Source organism: Homo sapiens, chromosome 13, assembly GCF_000001405.40.
Source record: "Homo sapiens chromosome 13, GRCh38.p14 Primary Assembly".
NCBI lineage: Eukaryota > Metazoa > Chordata > Mammalia > Primates > Hominidae > Homo > Homo sapiens.
Window position 1 is genome coordinate 78250576 of NC_000013.11, and position 26965 is coordinate 78277540.

General features: G+C 35.2%; 1 long non-coding RNA gene across 1 annotated transcript in view; it reads left to right on the plus strand.

The window, feature by feature from the left end:
* Positions 1–26965, plus strand: part of OBI1-AS1 (OBI1 antisense RNA 1) — a 562471-nt gene that overhangs the window by 195721 nt on the left and 339785 nt on the right. The window contains exon 3 of the long non-coding RNA NR_047001.1: positions 23678–23762. This is a non-coding gene — a long non-coding RNA (OBI1 antisense RNA 1). The remainder of the gene's footprint in view (positions 1–23677; positions 23763–26965) is intronic.

The following is a 26965-nucleotide window of genomic DNA, read 5'->3' on the forward strand; positions in this document are numbered from 1 at the left end:
ATAGGAACTATCAAAGCTATCATAACTATCTTGTGTGCAATGAGGAAGAGGAAAAGAAATGTGTACTTATACATACATGGAGACACACACAGACCAGCAAAGGGTTTTTGAAAAAGGCTTCTAAGTGTTCTATTAACCACAAGATCAATTCCTCCATAGGAAGAAGGGAGGAGAGGAAAAGGCAAGGCTTTCATCTGAGAGTGAGGAAGACCTTGAGAAATTAGTGCATTAATATCAAAGTGAATGAAATTTTGATATAACAAAATATTTCCAAATCAGTAGACAATTCATCTAGATCCATAAGGGTTCCAGAGAAACAGAACCAATTGCATATATAAGTAAAGAAATTCATTGCAAGGAATTGGTTCACACACTTGTGGGGCTGGCTGGGCAAGCTTGAAATCTGTAGGGCAGGCCATTCGGACAGGCAGACTGGAAACTCTCAGGCAGGAGCTGAAAACTCAATCCACTTCCTAAGTCTTTTTAGCTAATTGAATCAGGCTCACCCAAATTTTTCAGAATAATCCCTTTTAGAGAAAGTCAACTTTAATTTTAGACGCTAATCACACCTGCAAAATACCTTCAGAGCAACACCTAGATTAGGGTTTGATTGAATAACTGGCTACTACAGCCTCGCCAAATTGACAAATCATATTGACCATTACAGCACTCTTCTCTCAAGTACTAAAGGTTAAATTAATTAAGCCGTGGTCCATTTGGCCTGGTCTATGTATGTATTTGGCTATAGATTTCTAGAAGTCAGTGATATATGTGTAGTAATATATGTTAAGGATGTAAGAACTCCCATTCGATCTGTTAAAATCATTTTGTTAAATCTGTTAAAATTATTACTAAACATTGTTACAAGCACTTTAGTACATACTGGAGTCTTTCTAGTGAGCAAAGCAGACGTGATCACTGAAATGATAGTGGAACATAGAGACAGTTTATATCAATGTTTTCAATTAGTGTTTTCCCAATTACTAATTATAAATCATCAAGGAAAAAAAAGTATTCGGCTTTGTACAAGCAAGCTAGATTGAGTATTAAGCATTCATTCATTCAAAGAACCCATATTAAATCTTTATTTTTTTCAAATATCATGTTTTTAAAAACTAAATTTAATTGCATATATTTAAGGTGTATAACATGTTATGCAATATGTATAGATATTTCAAAGGTTACTATCGTAAAGTAAATTAACATATCCATTTTCTCACATACTCATTTTTTGTTTTTGTGGCAAGAGTAGCTAAAATCTACTAATTTAGCAGGAATCCTGAATACAGTACAATTTTGTTACCTACAGACTTCGTGTTGTGTATTGGATTTCTAGACGTGTTCATCCTGTATATCTGGTACTTTGCATCCTCTCACCTACATCTGCCAATTTGCTTCCCACTCCCCACCTTGCTCTTGATAGCCACTGATTTATTGTATGCCCATGTATGTATACATATTTTGTTTGTACAGTAGTTTTTCCTTCTTCCCAGTTTTGTTTCTAATATTTTAATTACCTATTGTTAATTATAATATAATAAAACATTGCAAGAGAGAGACCACACTCATATAACTTTTATTGCAATATATTTTTATAATTGTTTGATTTCATTAGTAGTTACTGTTGTTAATCTCTTACTGTATCTAATTTACAAATTAAACTTTATCATAGGTATGTATGCGTAGAAACATAGTATGTATAAGGTTCTGAACTATCTGTGGCTTCAGGCATCCACTGGGGGTCTTCAAATGCATCCCCCAAGGTAAAGAAAGATGGTGACTAGTATACATTTGAATTGTTTTTGAGATTACTACTTGATACCGAGCCTTTACAGGTTTGGGGGTATCAAAATGAATGATAAGGTACTCATGGGGGCTAGAAGTTTGGAAGGGTCTGCCAGAGATGGGCTCAGAACGGCTCACTCTATTGGTGATGCCTAGGAAGAATTGACCCAGAAAGTGAGGTCTGAGCTATGTTTTTAGAGAGACCTTTGCCAAATGGAGAATAGTGATCCAGGCTTAAATGGGAGGATCCTATACCTTACAACAATGAACCCTGGGAAAGGTACATCTGAAAAAGAGACCAGTAAATTGTTATCTGGCCTCTATTTCTTGCCGTATCTCCTTTATCAAAGAGAATAATAAGTGGATGGAAAAATACTGATATAAGGAATAAAACCTACAATCGTTGGAAAGATTGCACTTGATTCTTAGTCTCTTAGACCTGCAAGATGATAAGAGAGCATGGTCTTCCATTATTGAGATCTCCTGTTGGATCCTTCTGCAGGCAAATCTGCATGTCTGGAGAGATGATGAGGTTAATCAGAAAGGGAAATAGAAAAAAGGAGAAAACATGGAGGAAATGATATCTTCTGACTAGGCTCAGGAGAACATAAGCTCCAATGGAGTGCTCTGTTTTGGGGGATAGTGTTGTCAGCGTGCTCCAGCTATTTCATTTCTATTATGTTGTGTGAAACTCACATATTACTGATAAAAAGACTGAGACTCAGTGAGTTTGAGTGATTTGCCCAAGGTCACATGTCAGAGAGCTTGCGATTGTAGGTAAGTTGGTTCACAGCTGGGGCTTCAGTCTTGTTTTCATTATGCCTTTAAGTCAATTATCAGTACAAGGTGTGAAATGAAGCTATATGTTAGCAGTTCTTCTGGCAATAGATAATAGCTGTTTCTCATCATCAAATCCAATAAATGTCCTGCACTAAAATACAGAGTTAGACTTAATAATTGCTTGAAAAGAGACTTGTTCTTAGTTAACTATTTTGCTAAAGAATAAAACTCTTCTCAGCTCTCCATTTTAATGAGATTTCTAGATTTTTTTAAATAGAAAATTTATTGATCTTTCCCTCATTTTACAAAATGTGATATAAATTCATTACTAAATCTGCCTTAAATTTTATTTAAAATAAACATTTTTTTCTACTTTATGGACTTTTTGATTTTATAATTGTATTTATAGCTAAATTAATAATTCCTCATGTCTATAATTCAGCTAATTTGTGTACCTTTCTGTGATTCATTATTTAGTTGACATGCATTAGTAATATGAATATATTTTTATTGATGTAGACATAATTTTCCATCAGTGGATTTATAATAAATGTATGTTTTCAGTTCTTTCTGTGTAGCTGTTCTCTCATACCCATTTCTCAGTTGCTATTGGTGGTGAAAAATAAGTATTAGTTTTCTTTTTTTTCTGAATTAAAAAGATGTCAATATTAAAAGGAAACTATTGCAATTGTGGGAAAGAGCAACCAGTTCTTCATGTTTTTTGTGTTGCTCTCATGGAGTTTTACATCCTCTTCACTCATTCCTTTGTCTTTTGTTAAGAGTAATGTATTCTGTGTCAGTTGCATTTTCAGGCTTCTCCAATGCACAGACTGCCAAAATTACAAGATTATGTACAATAGGTTTATGTTGTGGATGTCTGTCCACCAGGGACGTAACAAGCTGAAATTGTCAACTTGGACTTCAACCAATGGCCTAGAGCTAAAAAGTGAGTGAAATTTCAACTGTGCTGCAGAACACTTACAAGTGTGTCTTCATTAAATCAATGATGTTCTCCAAAAGAGAATTACTTCCAGTCAAAAATACAATTTTGCTCTATTATCAGATGGTATAAAAAAAATTCAATAAATAAAGTTTCAGCCAAATGCTAAAAGGCAGATTGTACCTTGGCACCCCTTTCACTTAGAGATGATCTTCATAAGAAGTGGCACGTCATGTGACGTCATGTCAGCATAGTCTCTGAAGGACTATAATCCCTAAATGATAATTAGTTGGATGGAAGCTTCAAAAGTACAACATCTGGTGGATTACCATCATCCCTTTTATTCTTGGGAACTCTTTTGATCTGTTTGGATCTAGAAAGAAAAAATAATTATTTCTTGACTGTACTTGGTGCTTAAAATGCTACGAAGACAGTGTTGAGAGCTTTATTCATTTATTCATTGTGATTTTGTTACGGCTTCTTGATATGATATTGTGCTTAAAAACTGTATCTATTAACTTTCAAAGAAGTAGAAAATACATAGCATATTCTAGTCTGTTAGGTGAACAAATACTTTTCATAGTCATTCTATAATTTACTGTTTGAACACAGAGGCACAAACTAAGTGAATTCTGGGGGCAATTTAGAAGAAAATAGCCTCCTTTCAGAGCAAAATACTCCTAAGGAAGCTTACTAAGACTTCAAGTGTATTCACTTTATCAAAATGGATTTCTGAACAATATGAAATGCAAGAATGTTGGTTGGGAATATTTGGGGTCATTTAAAAATTAAAGTACACACATCTAGACATGAATGAAACTCTGAAATCTGGAAATGAAATATAAGTCAGTTCAGTTGACCCAACATGCTGGAGATATCCTCTAAGGCTAGAATTTTCAGTTTAAGCATAAAGCTACTGAATAAAAAGCAATTTCTGAATTTACTTTTTTTTTTTTTTTTTTTTTGCTGGAGTGTAGTGGCGTGATCTTGGCTCACTGCAACCTCTTCCTTCCAGTTTCAAGTGGTTCTCCTGCCTCAGCCTCCTGAGTAGCTGGAATTACAGGTGCCCGCCACCACTCCCGGCTAATTTTTTACATATTTGTATATGTATTTTTTTACATATGTATTTATATATGTATTTTTTTACATATATATACACATATAGACATATATATACACACATATATACATATATACAGGGTCAATAAATACCAATGAGTGTATAAAAGTATTAGACATGGCAGTAGAGATATATATATAGTATACGTATATGTAGAGAGATATATATAGTATATATGTAGAGATATATATAGTATATATGTAGATATATATAGTATATATATGTAGATATATATAGTATATATGTAGATATATATAGTATATATATGTAGATATATATATAGTATATATGTATATATAGTAGATATATAGTATATATGTAGATATATATATAGTATATATATGTAGATATACATATATCTATTGCCATGTCTAATATTTTTACACACTCATTAGTATTTATTGACCCTGTCCTGCTTATTATTATCAAACCCACCTCTCCTTTTCTCTTTTCCTACCTAGATATACTCAGTTTTGTCAGATATACATGTACTTTACATTTTTAAGATGAATAACATTTAAATTCCATCTTGTAATCATAATTCTGTGCCTGGTCTATAGCTCATTCTAAAAGATGAAAGTAAATTAAAGGCATTTACATTATCAGGATTATATTAAATTGCATTCATTACAAAGCCAATTGGTGATAGAGGATTTCTCTACAAATTCACCATCAGATTCCCTGGCCCACTCTAAGGTGAAGAATACTATCAACAAGGTTAAATGGATTTCCTTACACACCATAAATTGCTCAATATTGTGTCATATTTTGGGTTATTTCTGATATCTACTATGACATTTCCTAGACATTTTCTCTACTTGTAGTTTCTAGATGCCTCTCAGTTTTTTCTAAGAAAAAAATCATAATTTCTCATCCTATTACTAAAATCTTTCAGTTGTTATTTATTTTATTTTGTAAGAAATACATTCAATTTCTTTAGCATTTTCTTGGAAATCACTGTCAACGTATCCATGCGGACTGCTGATGGCTATCCAAGCTTGATGCATAGCTATCATCGTGGAATTTCATCTTTCTATTTGCTGAGTTAATTCTACTATTGACCAAATCTTATTTGTCCTTCTTATATCTTTATCCTGGACTACCCATCAAGTGAATATTTCAGAAAGGATAATTGGAAGGTATATATCTTAAGTCTGTATATATCTAAAAATACTTTGTTTGTCTTTCACACACTAATATTCTAAGTATAAAATTGGTATTGATTTGTGATCATGACAAATTATCAAACATAGTGGCCTAAAGCAACTCAAATTTATTATCTTACAGTTCTATAGATAAGAAGTACAAAACAAGTTTTAGGCTAAAATCAAGGTATCAGCAGGTGTCAGAAGCTCTATGGATAATCATAGAAGCTCAGTAGGACTATGTCCTTTTCTGGTTTCTCTAGGGAATAATCTTTTTACTGTTCATTCAGACTGTTGGCAGTTTGTTCCTTGAGCTTGTGGTATGAAGGTCCCTATTTTATTGCTGGTTGTAAACTGAAGGCTGTTGTCAGTTTCCAGAGGTCACTGCATTCTTTGGCTTCCTTCCATTTTCAAAGTCACAATGACAGGCCTAATGCTCACTACACACCTCTCTGACCCTCCTAATTGTCACATCTCTTTCTGATCCAGCCAGCAAAGGCTCTCCAAAAAAAGTGATGCCCGCAAGGATATAATCTCCACATCTCAAGGTCTGTAACCTTAATCACATCTGCAGAGTCCCTTTTGCTATGTAAGGCAACATATTTACAGGTTTGGGTATTAGGTCATAAGAATCTTTAGTAGCCATTATTCGACTTATATTCAAAAACATTTTTCCTGAGAAATTTAAAGGCACTATTATTTTTTTTCTCACACTTGAGAATTCTTGATAAAGTATTTTATGTCAATTATATTTTCATTTCTCTGTTGGTAATTTCTTATCCCTCTGAAAGATTTAGAAGGCTATCTTCATCCTTGTAATTCTGAGATTTGATGCATCTGGTTGTGGTCTTTCTTCAACTCCTCCTGTTTTGCAGCCAGAAGGCCCTAGCAATATGACTTCTCTGGTCTTTCTTTAGTTTAAGAAAAATTTCTTCCAGTATTTTTTTTTGAATGAATGATCCTCACCCTACTTTTCATCCCTACCATTAGGCCCATGCCTAAGGCATTTAGTACATGTTTGTGTGAGTGAGAGTTGATAAGACTGGACATATAGATTTGGCTGTCAAGAGCATAAGAAAATTGACAATGTGTATACATTAAGAAGATGCCAGAGAAGAAACCAAAAAGAATACTTTAATTTAAGGCTGAGGAGAGAAAAAGCAAAGGCCAGGTGTCTGTGGCATGGCAACCTGAAGGCGGAAAGTACTTCTAGTGAAATTCTATCCCCTAAACTTCTTCAATCTCCTCCCAAATCATAGAGATCTGTTTAATTTTTCAGAATTATAGAAGTTATTCTGGTCTGCTAAAAAGAGGTTTATTAATGCTGCATAATTTGAAACTGCACTGTAAACTATAAACTGCTGTTAATATGATTGCTATGATCTCAGAATGCTTTCATCCTTTCAGTAAGTACTTACTAACATTTCTTATGAGAATGCAATCAAGCCTCAATGATTCCGAGTCTTTTTTTCACCCTCATTACTCTTGCCTTGTTATTTCTGTTATATTATATCTGAAATATTTACAGTGCACTGTACCAGTACAATTTTTACTGTAGTCCCAGGAAAGGGGATATTTGACATGAAGATTCCAGCTCTAAAAACAGAGAAAAACATTTGAGATAGTGGCTTGCCTGTTTAAAAACATTGAAGGAAAAAAGATTGTAATTAAAAATATCCTTCTTTTAGATGTCATCTGAGCATGGATAATCATAGAAGCTCTATGTGGTTGAGCTATAATGAGCTTTTCAGTACTTTCCCCAAAGAACAATGTTAGGCAGTTCCTACCATCTCAACATCTGAATATTTTTGCAACACTGGCCCCAAATAAATGCTTTTATCCGGAGTCACTCTTCTTGTCCTGGTGATTACAATAGCAAGGTAGAGAAAAATAAATAGGGCCTGCTGTGCAAACTAACATTGTAATGAAGATCTAAATTTGCTCGTTATCCCTTGAAACAGCAGTTAGGAGGTACAGAGGGGACGGGATATTGCTGTTCTTTTGCGTACTCTGCAAGGAGAAGGAAGCAATTTGAATAAAATATCTGACAAATAAACTGTTGGGAATTTGTCAGAAGTGTATTCCTGGTCTCTGCAGGAAGTCTGTGAAGAGAGTTGAAGGCCCATAATGATGAGGAAGTCTTTGCCCTGTCTTCGATTTATTGAGCTGATAGGGGCTCTCTTCTGCAACTGGTTCTGTGTCTGTGCCTGCCCCATGAGGGACAGCCCTGCCCTCCATGGCCTAGGCAGCTGGTTCAAATCCAAAAGATTTCTTTGGTGGGGTTATTTAACAGGTGATGAATTTTTCTATCTGATTCACATTTGCTTTGCACTCAGATTTGGTGACCTATGTAATTTATGCCTGAACCAATGATTTATTTTTAAGTATACTGATGGTCTTTACCCACCAAAAAAGAACTGAAATATATAAGCCATCTTTTAGAAAGCTACCTTTAAAGAGAACCACAAAAATGGCTTATTACTTTCAAAGCCACATTTTAAAAAAGAAAATACCCGCTTCTCAAATGAGTCACTCTATAGTTTAAAATCTAGTGAAACATATATATAATATATAATCTATATTTTAAAATGCAAATATTTGATTAAAAATAACTATTTGAAGAATCATTTAAATGAATTTAAAATTACATTATGGTCTTAAAGTCATAAGCTTAAATGTCTACACAATTAAACAGTCCATAAGAAACTGAATCTGATCAAATTGGGGGGTTGAGGGTTTATAAAATACCATACAATAAAATAAATGTGCTTCTATCAATCTGAAAAACAAAGCGAATTGTGAGGTTGGAAATACCTTCAGAAAGAATAGTCAATTTGTTTCTTTGAGACTTAAAACTAAAGATTTCTTGCCAAAGCACATTTATAGTTTCTTAATATAACAAACCATGTCATAGTTTGATTTCCATATTCATAAAGATAGTGGAGATTTCCTTGGCAATAGAAGAATATATAAGGGAGATTCTCCGGTAATAGACTCCCTATCTTTTGTGATTTTTAAAATATGTGTTTGTTTGCTTGTTTGTTTTTTGCTATCAAGCTAGAAATCCTCTCTGGTTGCAGACCCATCACCAGGGAGAGCTCAAAGCTTCTGTTTTCATTTCTGTCCTGAAAGAGTCTAATCTGAAGATTTTTAGGAATGTCAATCCTAGGGGCATGGTGTTCTTTCATATTCTCTGAGATTCTATTGCTCTCTCTTGAGAGAAAGGACTGTATTTCTAGTGAACAATTCTTGAAGTCAAATGTATAGCCTTACATTTTCTACTACCCCAAACTTAGACTTCTCTCTAGATCTCTCCAACTCCAGTAGAATGGCTGACTATATTGTGTGAGTCTGTGTTGTAGCTTTCTGAGCTTGGACACTCAGGAACCTCTTGGAAATATATGACCTATTCTACATTGTCTTCTCCCAGTCTTAGTCCTTCCAGATCTTTTGAATTTTCCAGGGCTTAAGAACATTTTCTATTACAATAGCAAAAGAAGTTATTTTACCTCAACCTCTGTTTTCCTGAAACAATAGAACTGAAATATATGTTATCCTCTAATGTCTTCTTATTCCTTTCGAGTAGGCCCAGTTTATAAAACTTAAGCCTGCATTAGATTGTCCCACACTTCTACCTCCTCCAGGATTGTTTGCTGGATCAAGTCCCTAACTTTTTTTTTCTTTTTTCCATTATTCCAATTTTTATTACAAGACGAAAACATGCTTATTTAAGCTAATAACTCTTTGTTCTAAAGATTATCCTATGGTTTCTTTTCAAATCCTAAAAAAGTATACTGTTGACTGTGTATCTTCACTAACTCTGGTGAAAGCAGTCTAAATTAATATGTAAAATATAAAGCTACATCCTCTGCAATAAGTTGAGAAATTGGCATATTAAACCCAATAACAAGCAGAAGTAAAAAATAATAAAGACAACAGCAGAAATCAGTGAAATAGAAAACAAAAATAACAAGTTTAACTAACCACTAGAGAGGCTGACCAAGAGAAAGAGAGAGGAGACAGAATTTACAAATACCAGGAGTGAAAAGAATGGACATCATAACACCCTACAGATATTAAAGGTTAATTAGAAAATATTACAAACAACTTAATGCCCATAAATATGACAACTTAGATACCATGGATTAATTTCTCAAAACATATAAATTACCAAAGATCACTAAAGAATAAATAATCTGAATAGTCGTATATTTATGGAAGAAATTATATTGATAGTTTTAAACCTTCCAACAAATAAAACTCCAAGCCCAAATAAATAAACTCACTGATGAATTTTACTCAACATTTGAAGTGAAAACTAGCAGTTCCTCACAATCTCATCTAGATATTAGAAAAAGATGGGACATTTCTTACACATTTTCTAAGTACAATATTACTTTTTATGAAAATGAGATAAAAACATTACAAGAAAACTATAAACTAATATACCTCAGGAACTTAGACATTAAAATATTCTCAACAAAATACTAGCAAATCAAACTCAGTAACAGATAAAAAAGAAAAACATGTCAAGACCAAGTGGGTTTTATCCTAGGGATACGAGGCGGGTCTAACATGCAAAAATTAATAAGTGCCATTATTCTATCAAGAGCCTATAGAAGAAAAACTATATAGTCATCTGAATAGACACAGAAAATCATTTGACGTAAGTAAACATTAAAATCTCTCAGCAAGAAGTTATTGAAGGGAATTTCCTTAACTTGATAAGGAGCATCTACAAAACCTATTGGTAACACCATGCTTCAGGTTGGATGACTAAATACATTCCTCCTAAAATTAGGAGCAAACCAGAAATATCTGCTCTCACCATTTCAATTCATCATCATACTGGGAGTCCCAGCCAGTGCAATAAGACAAGATAAAATAATGAAAATGTGACATATCAAAACTGTGAATGCAGCAGAAGTGGTTTTTGAGTATGAATGTTTATCTTTCATCAAAATTCATATTTTGAAATCCTCACCACAGAGGTGATGGTGCTAGTAGGTAGGGCTTTGGGGAGATGATTAGATTATGGGAGTGGAGCCCTCATGAATGGGATGTGTACCCTTATAAAAAAGGCCTAAGAGAGATCCTTTGCCCCTTCTGCCATGTGAGGTTAAAGTGAAAAGATCACTGTCTATGAGGAAGAAGGCCCTCATGAGACAGCAAATTTTCTGGCACCTTGATCTTGGACTTTCCAGCATCAAGACCTGTAAGAAATAAGTTTCTGTTGTTTATAAGCCACCCAGTCTATGGTATTTTGTCATAGCAGCCAAAATGGGCTAAGACATATCTATAGTCTTAAATGTTTACATTAGAAAATAAAGGAATAGAAATTAATGAGCTAAGCTTCCAATTTCAAAAGCTAGGAAAAAAACTATAAAATACACTAAATACAAAATAAAAAATAAAGATAGAGCAAAATTATTAAAATATAAAGTAGATATAAAAAAGAGAAGATAAGAAGGACAAATATATTTTACAAATATAATTAATAATATTGACAAACCATTGACAAGTCTGAAAAGAACAAAAGAGAAATGGCACAAATGAACAACAGAGGAAATTAAGAAGGGGGTTACCACAGATGCTACAGAAATTTTAACAAATTAAGGATAGAGAAAAAAATTTTCCTAACATATTTGAAAACTTGGAAGAAATGGGCACATTTCTAGAAAAATTTTACTTACTAAAGCTCCCTTGAAGAGCAACATCATATTTAAATAATTCTATACCCATTGAAGTAATAAATTCATAGCTAACAGTTTTCCACATTAACAAAATAAAAAAATAAATATTATCAGACTTTCAGGAAACAATGTCAGTTTCATAGGGAATATTCCAAATAATAGGAAAAAGAGAAAATATTCCATAATTTACATAAAAGGCTAGCAACATCTTCATGCTAAAACCTGACAAGAACAGTATGAAGGGAAAAAAATCACATTTAATAATCACATTAATTATGTATTTAATATATTTAATAATATCAGTGTAAAAATCCTAAACAAAATATAAGCAACTTGAATCTAGGAACATATAAAAAGTCTGATAAATCATGAACAAGTTGTGTAAAGTTGATAAAAGTGAATTTTCCAAGACTGATCTCCACAGGCAGTTCCCCCTAAGGGGAAGAAACTGCCTCTAGTAAAACTGACCTTCTGAGTGGTTCCATGGAGACCTGTGTGGGCCCGGTGCTCAGACAGAACAGATAAGCCTCAAGACCTGCACCCCAACCACTCCATCACCATCATGCCAGGGATAAGTTCCTTCTCTAACCATGAAAACTGATGTGGTGACTTCTGCCTTCGGCTTTGCATGTGATAAAGCTACTATGCAAAGCTTAGACCAATTCTCAGACCACAAAAGGTGAAGACCTGGCATCCCCTTCAGCAAGCCATAAATGAATGCTTAGTTCAACTGATGGAGTAGGGCTGGGGCAAAGCCTCTGCCACAGCATATTACAGTTGCATACTGAGCCATAGTGACTCCAGACAGGGGCTATAGTCATGCAGCGGAGAAGCTCACAGACCAATGCTTAAGGTCTCTTGTCTGATCCTGTCTGATTGTAGTTCATGTGTATGCAGTGTGACAGGTATCACCTGCCTCAGTTCCCATCTCTTGGAGGCCAACATCAAGGATGATTGTCTAGTGAATGTCCTTAGATTTGATCCATTCTCAGGTAACATAATAATGAATGTTATGGAATGAACGCTTGTATCTCCCCAAAATGTGTAACCCCCAGTGTGATGATATTTAAACGTGGAGCCTTTGGGAGGTAATTGGGTTTACATGAAGTCATGAGGGTGTGTCACCTGTGATGGGCTCAGTGTCTTTCCAAGAGGAGGAAGAAACTGAAGGTTTCTTTCTCTTTGCAGTGTAGGAATTTAGCTCAAAGGTGACCATCTGAAAGCCAGGAAGAGGGCCCTCACCAGAACCCAACCATGCTAGCACCCTGTTTTCCAATTTCTAGCCTCCCAAACTGTGAGAAAATAAATTTCCGCTGTTGAAGTCACCCAGTCTATGTTATTTTGTATGGCAGCCCAAGCTGGCTAAGATAGTGAAGAAATACAAAGAAAGGAGAGTTGACTCACTCTCTAGTGATTGGAATGTGCTCCTTACCATTCTATTGAGCTCTCTTTCAGTGTAGTTAGACAGAGTAGATCCAGCAACAAATGATGACTGAACCCCTGATTGAACATCTGCTGAATTCTCCCTGATCCAGGTTTGATGATGTACACTGCCTTTGTAAGTAGGCATTTCAGTAAAGGTACTAATTCATCACAGAATGAAATCAAGAGGAATAGAGGATATTCCTATGTGCTTTTACTCCACTGAACATTTTAACAGCGTTGGGTTGGGGATGGGCATCTTTGACAGCTTGCTTCCAATTCAAAAGAACCTGAGTGCATTTTCGTACATCTTCAGAGCATTTTTCTGTTTTCTGAAGAGCTTTTCATTCATTGCTGTGATAGTCTTGTCACTCGTTAGTGTTCAGAGGGTTAGAGTTAGAGCTTCTTCAGTTTATATCTTTAAATTATATCAGCAGGTGATCGTGAGGCTCTTTGTTTTCACAGCTGACTTGGGTTATCATTTTAATCCTAGACACTCTAAGATTGAAAAACTTAGGGAGATACCACATGGTGAAAGTTATCTAAGTTCAGCAGCAAATCACATAAAAGACATGTTTTTTATCCCTATTATATATCAATAATATCCAGTCATGCATGACATAACAATGGTTTTGTTAATAACAGACCAGTGGTCCCATAAGATTATAACATGTTTTTGTTGTACCTTTTCTATGTTTAGATACAATACTTACTGTTGCATTACGATTTCCTACAGTGGTCAGTTCAGTAACATGTTGAACTGGTAGCCTCGGAATGATAGGCCATATAGCCTAGGTGTGTAGTACATTATACCATCTACGTTTGTGTAAGTACACTGTGTGATGTTAGCACAATGACAAAAATCACGAAAGGATACATTTCTCAGAACATATCCTCATCGTTAAGTGATGTATGACTGAAAATAATTTTCTAGCACAAATACCATGTCTAAACACCACCAAATATAGCAACACAAAAGGTGCATTCCTTTTGAATTTGATGCACCATCTCCTTTGGATAGACCTAGCTCTCTAGTCTGCCTTTATGTAAGAATCAAGTCTTTAAGTATTGTGGTCCTGTAAGTGCACAATATATTTAATCCACTTCCTATACTCTTCACATAGTCTTAAATGGAAATATAGTCCACAAGCAACTCAAGAAGTTGGCATCCAGGCTATTTACATCATCTAAGCAATTAATCATTGCATAGTAAGACCTAAAACAAAACTATTCAGTCCAAATAAACAGCTATTCAGCTTCCTGCAGAAGTGTGCAAAACTTGCACAGTAAAACATGTTTTATTTTACTGGCATGGTAAAGGCATCTTGTGGGTGCTGTGCTGAAGAAAAAATATACACAGTAAGTCATCACTGAATGCAAATGATACGTTCTTGGAAACAATAACTTTAAGTGAAATGACATATAATGAAACCATTTTTTTTCTCATCAGTGTTATAAGGTAACAACATTGATTGAAATGATGTTTTATTCGAGGACCTGCTGAACATCAATCACTTCATCACACCATACATAGACTGGAATAAAATAACATAAATAATTTAGTCTTTTCTTCTTGTTGCTTGAATTAAGAAAGGATGTAACATTAAAGTTAATATTTTAAAATTTTAATTAAAACATATCTAGGGTCCCGGCCCACGAGTCCACGTTTGCTGCATCACAGGCACTGACCATTGCCCTGGGCAAGCATTTTCGGAGCATCACAAAGCAAATCCTTTCTTCTTCTTTTATGGCAGGGGCTCTTGATGCCACTGTGTCACATATGTTTCCAATTAATCTCCTGCTAGGCTATCTGATTGAATTACACAATCACTGGAATGTTTTAAAGGCTTAACTAATTTGAAGCATAGCCATAGGTTAAACACTGTTGAACCATCACACTCAAAATATATGTTTAACATAAACAAATCATTTCACAGATACAAGCATGGCTAATGGGGTACCATAATAAGGGGAGGCAAATGCCTTTGTCTTATTTTGTCCTTTTACCCAAAACATTATAGTGCCTATTTTTAATACTAAAAATAAGGTACAAGGAGAATTTTCCATTTATTACAGTATAGACAAACAATCTGAATAATTCAAGCTGTGTTTACAGAGCACAAAGTGAGGTTCAGGTTTCATAAATATTCATGATTAGTGTGGGTAAGCAGTCCAGATAATTCAGAAACTACCCTATCCCCTGACAGTTCAATTTGCTAGTCTAGAGAGAACCAATTTACCAATAATTATGACATCTCTACTTTACCACTTAGTATAGAACCATGGAGGAGAAAATGCTTCCTTATTTTTAAGCTTAATTTAGATTGTTGTTTCAATTTGATTATATGGGGTTATGTGGATTCAGTCATAGAAGAAGATTGTGCAGTCTCCCCAAATTCTCGGCCTATATTTTAGGTATGGTGCTTCTCTTTCCTTCCATTCTCTTATTCTTGTTTTCTGCCCTTGGCATGAACAGTGTGCATGAAAGATGGCACTTAGGTCTTAGCTCCCTGTGATTTCATCCAATTAGGTGACTCTAGCACCTAGTAAAACTGTTTCTCAGAAAGTAGTGGCCCTCTGTACTTTGGGAAATGAATGGTGTCCTTTACAAGGACATTCCAGAAAAATAGGTCAACTTATAATGTGAAGCCTGGCTGAGAAGGAAATAACCAAATGACATCTAAGACTTAGGCAAAAAGTTAAAATACCTGTCCTTCTAATGATCTCTACTGCTTCTTCTTTTAATAAATGTCTTTAGTAGCTAGAGAACAGTTACACAAGAGAAAGGACCAACGAGAAATCATTGGTGAGAAATAATCAAGGGAAAGGAATTTTATAAAATGGTAATTAAAAATAAGAACTATGAATGTAGTTCTCAGATTCAAACCTTGTGTTATACTTTAAGCATATCAATGAACAGTGATCTCAGATAAAAATATTGATTTTCTAGAAGGCTTCAATCTTACAGTGCTTTTTTCCCAAAGCCTTGCAAGTTTCACAAGTATCTTTTGTGTTTTATTCAGTATCTACTGAGAGGCTGTTGCCACATAGCAGAGAGCTGGATGGTCTGATACTTTGGGGTGGGTCAGAGTTTTCAAAGAACTTCCCATCTAAGGAGGCAGCAAAGCTGACAGAAATGCAGGGACCACATCAGGCCTTCACCTGTCTGTTTCCACAATTGAGTGACAGAAATCTGCTATTTTCTTCCAGGAGCAAGTCTGGCTGAGCCTTTAATATCCATTTCCTTACCACAAGAAATTGTGTCTGGGCTTCATGTCTTAAGCAATGACTACAACAGAGCTCCTTAGCAGATCTGTGAGGATATCAGTTTTATTTTTACAAAATCCAGAATTTTTGTTGGAAGTTAGCAATGATAGAGGAGTGACTGTGGAACAGGGGGCTAGGTGGCAAAAGGAGGTGCAGGAAGGAAAAAGGTGAAGACCACTGGGAAAGTAAACTAGAGTGGTGCATCCTAGCCTTTGAATTACTTTGGCAACTATTTATTTATATGTCTGTTTCTATGAATGGAAAGTTCCTTGAGGACAGGGACTCTGTCTTATTTGTATTTGCAATCATTGCATCTAGTATAGAGATGTGGAATACTCCCACTCTTCTGCTTACCTTTCCTCTCATTATTGTTCTCTCTCTCCTCCCCAAGGGCAGAGGAGTTGCTCATGTATTTAGTCTGAGTTTACAGTATTGACTAGACCATATCGATCAGCAGGTAAGGTCACTGATCATACTCATCTATGGGATAGGAAGCTAAATGAACCAAGAACAGTCAGATCTAATAGGCTACGAGTGACTAGGAGTCAATGGCCTGGAGCCTGGTAGATAAATATTTTAAACAAGGCATCACGATTATGTTTGCTGGATATGGACCTCTGGTCAGGTACACAGAACCACTGACTAAATTATATTCTGACTGTATAGATTCTCTGTTATCATATGGAAGAATCAACTATGAAAATACATTTTTCTAATTCTTGGATTTTGTGCTAGTATACATATAGATTTCAGAAAAAAATGGTTTGCCAAGGTTTCAATTCATTAATTAATATGTGTATGAAGAGCCTATTACATTCATTCATTTACTCTTTTATCTGTGCTAAGCAGAATTGAATGATCTACATACTCTGCAATGCTCTGCCAACACGTCAAGCTATAATCTGTTACTAATTGTCAGATAGAACTGGCTTCATGGGTGTGCAATCTGTGCAGGCACACAATGCCCCACACTCAAAATGATCTACACTTGATACAATGCTCTGCTGTCAATATCCAGAACTTCTTATAATTTTTCACAAGGGAACTTGTATTTTCCGCTGGATCCCACAAATTATGTAACTGGTCCCACTCTCAGTGTCAGGATACAAAGATATCAGGTAAGATTGTTGGAATCCCAATGGACTGCAGTCCAAACGTTCTTTAAAAAGCCAGTGGGTAGGCCGGGCTCGGTAGCTTAATTCTGTAATCCCAGCACTTTGGGAGGCCAAAGCGGGCAGATCACGAGGTAAAGAGTTCGAGACCAGCCTGACCAACATGATGAAACGCCCCCTCTACTAAAAATACAAAATTTAGCCAGGCGTGGTGGTGTACACCTGTAATCCCAGCTACTCGGGAGGCTGAGGCAGGAGAATTGCTTGAACCTGGGAGGCGGAGGTTGCAGTGAGCCAAGATCTCACCATTGCACTCCACCCTGGGCGACAGAGCGAAACTCCGTATGAAAAAAAAAAAAAAAGACAACAGGTAATAAGGATCTAGACAAGTAGCCCATGGGCATGGGCCTATCTCAGATCTCAGAAGTCAGAAGAGAAGATACAGACACAAGAAAAATCCAAATCCTGAATATATAATATTGGAGTCTTTAAAAATTTAGGTAGTTAATTTGTTAATTAGCTAGATTTAATCATTCCACAGTGTATACATACTTGAAGACATCATGTTGTACCTGATAAATACATGAATTTTATCTGTTGACTTAAACAATAAAACAAAAAATAACTTTCATCCCTTAAACAATAAAAATCCAAAAGGAATGTGGATCCATGTTAATTAAGAAGGCATGGTCTCCGAAGCAGTTCCCTGCCTTCACTTTTATTTATTTTTAAATTTTATTATGTAAAATTTTAGATATTATAAATGTGTATAAATAATAATATAATTAACCTCCCTATATTTATCATACAGCTCCAACAGTTGTCAATATTTTGTTAATCATGTTTCATTCATTTCTCTATTTTTGCTAAAGTGTTTTAATTAAAACCCCTATATTCACCCATAAATACTTCAATGTGCAAGTCCAAAAGATATTCTTTTTTAAATACAGCCTCAATATTATTGTTATACCTAACAAAAGTTTAAAAAAATTAATGTTCAGTTTATGTTCAAATTTCTCAAAGATGCCTTTCTATAGTTACTTTGTTAAATTTGAATCCTAACAAGGTTTGCATTTGTTTGGTATTGTCACTTAACTTTCTTTTAAACTATTATAATTCCCCTTATCTCCATTTTTTTCATGCTATAAATTTGTAGAAATAGCTGGGTTATTTGCTTTGTGTAATTACCCACATTCAGAATTTGCCTAATTGCATCTTCACAAGGTTGCTGCTCTAGCCCCAGAATTTGTGTGATAATTGGTTTTAGATTTAGGGGATGGATTAGATTTGGTTTAATTTGGGGGCAAGAAAACTGCATAAATGGTGCTGCATATTTTCTTTTATTTCTCCAGCTTTATTTAGGTATAATTGAAAAATAAAAACTGTGTACATATAAGGTATATGTGTACATTGTAGAGATTTACCCCTGTGTTTTCTTCCAGTGATTTTACAGTTTCAGGTCTAATATTTAAGAGCTTAATCCATTTTGAGTTGATTTTTGCATATGTTGTGAGATAAAGATACAGTATCATTCTTCTGCATACGGATATCCAATTTTACCAACATTATTTATTTAAGAGATTGTCCTTTTTCTCATTTTGTGCTCTTGGCACCTTTGTCGAAAACCAAATGACTATAAATGGGTGGGTTTATTTCTGGAATTTCTGTCTTGTTCCATTGGTCAATGTGCCTGTTTTTATGCCAGCATCATGCTGTTTTAATAACTACATCTTTGTAATATATTTTGAAGTCAGGTAGTGTGATGCCTCTGGCTCTCTTTTTTTTGTTCAAGATTATTTGTCTATTCAGGTTCTTTTGTTGTTCCGTACACATTTTAGAATTGTTTTTCTATTTCCGTGAAAAATGCTACTGGAATTTTTATAGGAATTATACTGAATCTGCAGATAACTTTGGGTAATATGGATATTTAAACAATATTAATTCTTCTAAACAATTAATACAGAATATTTTTCCATTTATTTGTGTCTTCTTCCCTTTCTTTTATCAATGTCTTCTAGTTTTTGGTATACACATCCTTTACTTCCTTGGTTAAATTCACTCAAGTATTTTAATTTTTTTGATATTATTGTAAATGGGATTATTTTCTTTTTTTTTAAATAGTTAATTGTTGGTTTGTAGAAATGCTACTGATTTTTGTAGGTTGATTTTTTTACCCTGCAACTTTACTGAATTCTATTATCAGTTCTAATAGTAATTTTGGTGGAGTCTTTAAGATTTTCTGTGTATAAGATCATGTTGTCAGCAGAGACAATTTCACTTCTTCCTTTCTATTTGGTAGCCTTTTATGTCTTTTTCTTTCCTATTTGCTCTGGCTAGGACAACCAGTACTACGTTGAACAGTGGACCTCCTTGTCTTGTTTCAGATCTTAGAATAAAAGCTTTTAAATTTTTAATTTGAGTGTAATGTTAACCATGGCTCATCATATATGGGCTTTATGGTATTTATGTAAATTTCTTCTCTTGCTAATTTGCTAATTTGTTGACAGCTATTGTCACAAAAGGATATTGGATTTTGTTAAATTCTTCTTTTCCATGTGGGTTTTGTCCTTCATTTTGTTAATATGATGTATGACATTTATTTATTTGCATATGTTGAACCATCCTTGTATCCTAGGGATAAATCCCACCTGATTATGGTGAAAGATCCTTTGAATTCAGTTTGCTGGGGTTTTTTTTAAGGATTTTTATAGCTATGTTCATTAGGGAAATTGGTCTGTAGTCTTCTGGAGTTTTTGCCTGGCTTTGGCATCAGGCTAATGCTGGCCTCCTAAAATGAACTTAGAAGTGTTAATGCTTCTCCAAGTTTTTGGAAGAGTATGAGAAGGATTGGTTCTTTAAATATTTGATAGAATTCAGCTAAGATGCCATCAGGTGCTGGGCTTTTCTTTGATAGGGAACTTTATTATTGATTCAATCTCTTTCTTCATTTTTGGTGTGTTCAGGTTTTCTATTTCTTCATGATTCGGTCTTGATACGTCATATGTTTCTAGGAATTTATTAATTTATGTTATCCAATCTTTGGCATATACTTGTTCATAGTAGTTTTTAATGATTATTTGTATTTCTGTGGCACCAATTGTAGTATCTCCTCTTTCATTTCTGATTTTGTTTATTTGAGTATTCTTTCTGAAGGATAGCTTTGTTAAGTGTAGTATTCTTGGTTGCAAACATTTTCTTTCCTTTCAGCAGTTTGGTATATATCATCTCACTCTCTCCTAGCCTGTAAGATTTCTGCTGAGAAATTCACCGATAATGCTATAGTGGTTCCCTTGTATGGAGCGTGGGGCCTGGAGACTTGGGGACCAGCCTGGAATCTGGTGCTTCAGGGGCTGGCCAGACACAGGGGTGGGTCTAAAGCCTGGGTTTGTCAAGTCCAGTCTGCAGTCCAGGTACACTGGGGCTGGTCTGAAGCCCAAGTCTGCAGGAGTTGGCCTGGTGCTGGGGTTCACAGAGGATGGCCTGGTGTTGAGGTTCATGCAGTCAGGTGTTCATTTTACTTTCCTTTTAATATATTGAGGCTGTCTCTCCCCCAGTTGCACTGTGTGGACTTGGGAAAGCGGTGACATTCCTAAAGTGAAATTATCCTTTCTATCTTCTTCAATGCATCTTTTCTTATTTCTGTGCTATACTCAGGTGATGAAATCTTAGACCCTACCAGAGGGTCTCAAATTGGCTTCAGTGGTTTAGCAGTGAAGTAACTCACATAACTTCAACTCACAATGCATTGTGCTATTATATGGCTGAACCTAACTGCAAACGAGTGAGAATGTTTGACCCACCTATAAGCTCAGAAGAGGAGAATTGGATATGTATGAGCACTAGAAGTCTCCATCATAAAAAGATAATTTAAGCTGAGCTTTGAAGCATATTAGACAACACTGGGGAACCATTAGAGAAGGATTTGGAAACAATTGAAGGTATGCAGAGTCATCTCTGTAAAAACACTAAGGTTGGAGTGGGATAAACATAAGCAAGAGAGTTTGTTTCTAACTAGCTGTGTCATTTTGGGTCAATCACTTCACCTCTTTGAACCATATTTTCTCTTTGAAAACTAACTTTTAAAAACAAATGTTATTCAAATATTTCTTGAGCAGCTAACCACTTGTTTAAAGCAAATGAAATCTTGTGTATGACCCCAATTCACAGAGCAAATATATGTATGGCTGCTCTGGGTGAAGTATGGAGGACTGAGAACTCAGACTCCCCTTTTCCCCACAATACCTATCAGTGGCTCTTGAGGCAGCACCACTAAAAAAATTAATTTCTCGTACATTGTAACTTATATTTCTTGATTTATTGACTTCTAATGCTTAATGGTCATGGCAAGGGTGTCTGAGAGACATATTTTAAGACTTCATGTCAAGAACTCAAATCACTATTAGCTAGATATGGGAGTAGAACACAGAAAATTCAGCCTATAACTATAAAAACAATTTGAATACTGCCTTCTGAGACTCTTTGGAATCATGGTTATTTGCATGATGATTATCCAATATCCTATATATTCATATGTGGTTATCTGTGCACACATGCATAAATAGTTAACATGGTGGTGAGAATGCTGCTGCCACTGTTGTTTTTGCTCTTAAACATTTTGGAACCTTATCCAAAAGGGAAGGTGAATTTTTATAAAGCACATTTTCAAACTGCAGAGGGAAATGTTTTCAGCTGCTCAGAGGAAGATATTTGTGCCAATATGAAAATTAATCAAATGAAGCCAATTTATTTTATTTATACCTTTTTTACTTCCACAAGACAAAAGGTGATGGTGAAATGCCAATTTCCCAAGGCTTTGTCTACACTGAAGAAAAGAGTATGAAGCACTGAAGTAATCTGATAATAAGAAAGGGTGGTAGGGAAGCCCTGTGAGATTCTACATCTCATGTAGAAGATTTCCTCTGAGCTAAGACTATCCAAGAGCATTGGGTCAGTTTTCCTGGGCTATTTTGAAATCAATTTAAGAATAGAATTTTGTTTATACAACTAATGTACTACTTACTCCATTCTCAGGAGTTATTCCTTATGTACCTAATGAATAAAAGAGTTGTGGAGAATTTTTTTTAAAAATCTTGTTTTCATCTGTTGTTTTCTGCAGATTCTTTAAGGACAAAACAAAACATAATGACTAAATGATGTTGTCCTACATCAACAAGGGTTTCCTAATAAATAAACATTCAATATATAATAATTAATGTTTTATTATTTTGTGACACATTTTGAATACAGTAAATGGCATTTCAGTAGAAATTCAGATTATTGGTGTGAGAATTGATAAGCAATAAGTATTTATTTATAGACCAATTTTTGGTATAGGCTATTATCGTTATTATTATTATTATCCATACTCATCCTTGTTGTTGAAGAAAGCTCTTACAATATAATTAAGCAGCTCTGGGAGCCAGAACTATTTCTTGAAAATTCCTTGATGTTATCAGATTAAGGTGCATGACAAAAATGCTGGTAGATGTTATCCTTAGTCATTTTGAACATTTCCTATTGTCCCATCCTCTTTCTGAACTACCAGAGTATTTTCTCTGTATAAGACAAAATCAGGTACAGTAAAAGAAAAAATTCTGGCAATAGGAAGAAAGAGCTAATGTTCTTTCTTCTCTTTCCCTATTTCTAAGAACAAACGACAGCTTGGAGTATGTAACAAACTGATACATATGAACTGCAAATTTCCCTTTGACCACAGAATGAGGCAAGGATTAAACATTTGCCTAGCTCATTAACTATGGAGTAAAAAGGTTTGAATGGGAATATAAAAAAACGCATTTGCAAAACTTCACCGCCTATCAGGAGGCCAGCTTCAGAATAGCTATTTCTTCCAAAGTAAACATTTCCTTTTTAATTTCTTTGAATTGCTCTTAGTTTTTCTTAAATTTCACCTCTTGATTCAAGGTTTTGCATTTTTAGTAGTCCTCTCCATCTATCTGCACAAAAGTTAAAGAATTTCTAAGATTATAGAATTTTTTTCTAAATTATACTTCATTAGCATTAGAAGATGTTCTTACAAATTTATCTTTCAATCATATACCAGATTTTATTTCACAGTACTTTAGATTTCATTTCTCTTTGCTGTAAAGTCCCTAGTCTTGTTCGATAAAATAACCATGGGGATTTTATTCATTTTAAAGACAATTGTATAGGGCTACGTTATCACATTTAAGTAAATGAGATTTACATTTTTACATTATTTCAAATGAAAAGAAGCGAATGTCTTTAAATTATTAAATCTTTTGTCAAAAATGCTTTAAAATTCTGTTTTATTTATCAGAGATTTTTAATTAAAGCTATTTCTTAGAAAATGAATTCCTTATGAAGAAAACATTGAATTCTCCTTTTATCTATACATTAAACAGCTTATGCATTTTTTATTCCTTTAATTTTAGATGCCAATATTTTACCTCTTGGGTACTTTCTGTGTAGAAGATTCATAACAAGAACAATACTTATTCTGCAATTCTTTATATAAAGGTGAGTAACTACTCAAAAATGATTACAGGCTAACAATCAAAGTCTAATACAAGTTGTTGTGCTACAAACTGGATAATCACATATTTTGGCAGGCCATGCATGGCCAAGTATTTTTGTAATCTTGATGAAGCAATAAGAACACTAAAGCATGTAACTGTGGCATAGCAAAAATTGATGCATATAACAAAGTTAGACCTTTGAATATTGACAAGCCCATTTTCTAGCTTGATGGAGAGAAATAAGCTCCTGCATCCACATGGTTGATCATCTAACTTCTGGAAAGGATCAAGAGGTTTGTTTTCTCATTGATTTCTATCATTTGTATAGTTTTTATGTTGCTGATTTGGTAGAAAATCAAATAGAAAGCACCTTAAGCCAAGTTGTTTTTGCCAATCTTTGAACACAGGTCAGAATTTATAGTGTAGCCTAGCTCACTTATATAGTGAAGTGTCATAGTAAACAACAATTAATAATTCCTTTCTTCTCAGAAATGTAGGGAAATGGAACAAGATTACAACCACATGGTGTAAATTGGCTTGTTGATGTGCACTTGCATGGGTATGGCTGGGATATCAGAGCCTATGACAGTTGTTTTATAGTGTCACCTTAAAGCCTAATACATATTGATTCACAGATAGTAATTTTAAGTTTCTTTTCACAGTTGAGAATATGACCTTGCATATTAAAACCCTTAAATCACCTTACCTTTCCTTAGATAACCTGCCCCTTCTCCACAAAACCAAAGATTCTTATCTCCTAATTCCTAGGTAACAGGAATTCTCTTCCATTGGAAATAAATACTGGTACTTATGAACAGTAAAGATTTGCATTTGTTTGGGCACCTATTTTAATAAGCTATTTTATGAGAAGAAGAGATGAATAATATTATAACTATTTTATAAGAAGAAGAGATGAATAATCTTTGGATGTGTGCTTACAATGTACCGGTTATTAATCTATACATATTTCTATAAACAATCTCCATTTTAATTCTCAAAATACCCTTCAAAGTAAACATTCCAATACCCAATCTCTAGGTGAGTAAACTGAGGCTTAGATAATCATAACACTAGTCAACAGTTATTGCGTACTTGCTATGCAATGGGCACTGTGCTAAGTGCTTTACATTTACGTCAATGCTAAGTGTACAATGAATCATTACAACTCTAGGAAGGAGGTGTCATTATTTTACCCATTTTAAAGATGCAAACACTGTGGCTTAAAAAGGTTAAGGAACTTTCCCAAGTTAAGATGTGGTGTGATGTGTTGCTGCAACAGCTTCATTCTAAAATAAATATTCCAAGAGGCCTAGAGTCTTCAGGGGAAGAAAAATTGTTCTCAAGTTAGAAGTTTTCCATTATTAATAAAGTAATAAGACCAGGAAGGATTTGAAATCTTTTACTACTGCCACTGAAGAGGCTGGGGAAGTAAAGTATAGGAAGGCTTCCTCTTACCAGGCACTAGGATCAATGCTTTACATGTTGTTTTAGCCACTGTTCCACTTTTGAGAAAGACAGCATGATCTCATTCTACAAAGGAAGAAGCTAGGTGTCAGAAGGTTTAAGAAAGTGGCCCAGGGTTTTACAGTTAAAAAACGTCAGCCTGGACTAAGAGGCAAAGCACATCTGCAGTTGTGGTGAGATGGCGTGAATTGGGATAAGTACAGATCATGAGGATTGAAAGAACTGCCCAGAGTTTAGGGCGTTCTGAGTCTCAAACACTGTCATGGCCTTACCATACTGTCAGACTTCCTTAAGTAGCTGTACATTCCTCTCTTGAAAACTCCAGCTGGGAACTGTTTTAGGTGGGGCAGCCCTGCTAATAACAAAATTCTTCATCCACTCAAAGCAACCAGCATGGTGCATGTGGCCCAGTTCTGCTTCTCAGTCTCAGAATCACAGAATCTGCTGATTATTCACCTCACCTTACATCTCAGAAACTTGCCAGAGCCAAGCTGAGCTACCTTTATGTGTGATTCTGTCTTGGATCGTGCCTTACCCAGTACTCCTGACTTCTTGCACTGGATGTTACACAGTGATCCAGCTTCCTCTGACCTTCAGAAAATCCATATACAAGATATACAAACTCTCTGAATCTTCTTTTTCTGCTTAGAGGTTAAAATTATATTGCTTACCCAGGCACGGTGGCTCGCACCTGTAATCCCAGCACTTTGGGAGGCTGAGGGAGGCAGATCACCTGAGGTCAGGAGTTCGAGACCAGCCTGTCCAACATGGTGAAACCTCATCTCTACTAAAAATACAAAAAAAAAAAAAAATAGCCTGGTGTGGTGTCAGGTACCTGTAATTCCAGCTACTTGGGAGGCTGAGGCAGGAGAATCACTTGAACCCAGGAGGTGGAAGTTGCAGTAAACCGAGATAGTGCCGCTGCACTCCAGTCTAGGTGTTAAGAGTGAAATTCCATCTCAAAAAAGAAAGAAAAATGGTATTGCCTACATCACTGCATAGAGATAAATTCTATACCTATGTGAAAGTACTTTGAAAAGAGTTCAAGTGCTAAATACACCTCACTCACTATCACCAATATTCCACATCACATGGCAATACTGCTAGAAACAGGAGCAATGACAGGTATGGAATGTACCAGTTAAGTGAGGGAAAAACAGAACTAATGTTTATTGAATGGCTCAGTACTGGGGGCTTCCCATGCTCTAGGGATGTAGAGACAATCCCAATCTTCAATAAAAGTTAAGTTAATACATCATTGCAATTCAGAAAATAAGCTCTAATAGATACACACAATGGAACTAGTAACAGTTATGTACTCCCCCCGACTCCTCCCATCCCTGTAGTACCATGGCCTAGCTAGTAGTAGCCATATTCATACAGTAAAATCCCCCTATTTTTAATTGGTCCAAAGGTGGGGGCCTATTCTAAGCTGAATCAATTAGAGTTGCTCCTTTGGAACTTGGTTTCTCATTTTTTGCAGGTTGATTCATTGCAAGATCATATTTACAACACTTACTAGCTTGTCACTGCACTTGTCAGAGATCCCAACCTCTGCTCCAAGACCCCTTCCCATTGTTTGTGGCAGCACCTGGAGAAGGCTTCCATGTGATCAGGGACAGTTGTGCTCTTTTAACTGTACATAGGCTTTCTTGTAGCAGTTGTCTCCTGGAAGGTCATCCCAGGGAGGCCCTTTTCTTCTCCCGCTGCTGTCCTTGCCTCTGGAGTATGCTCCTATCA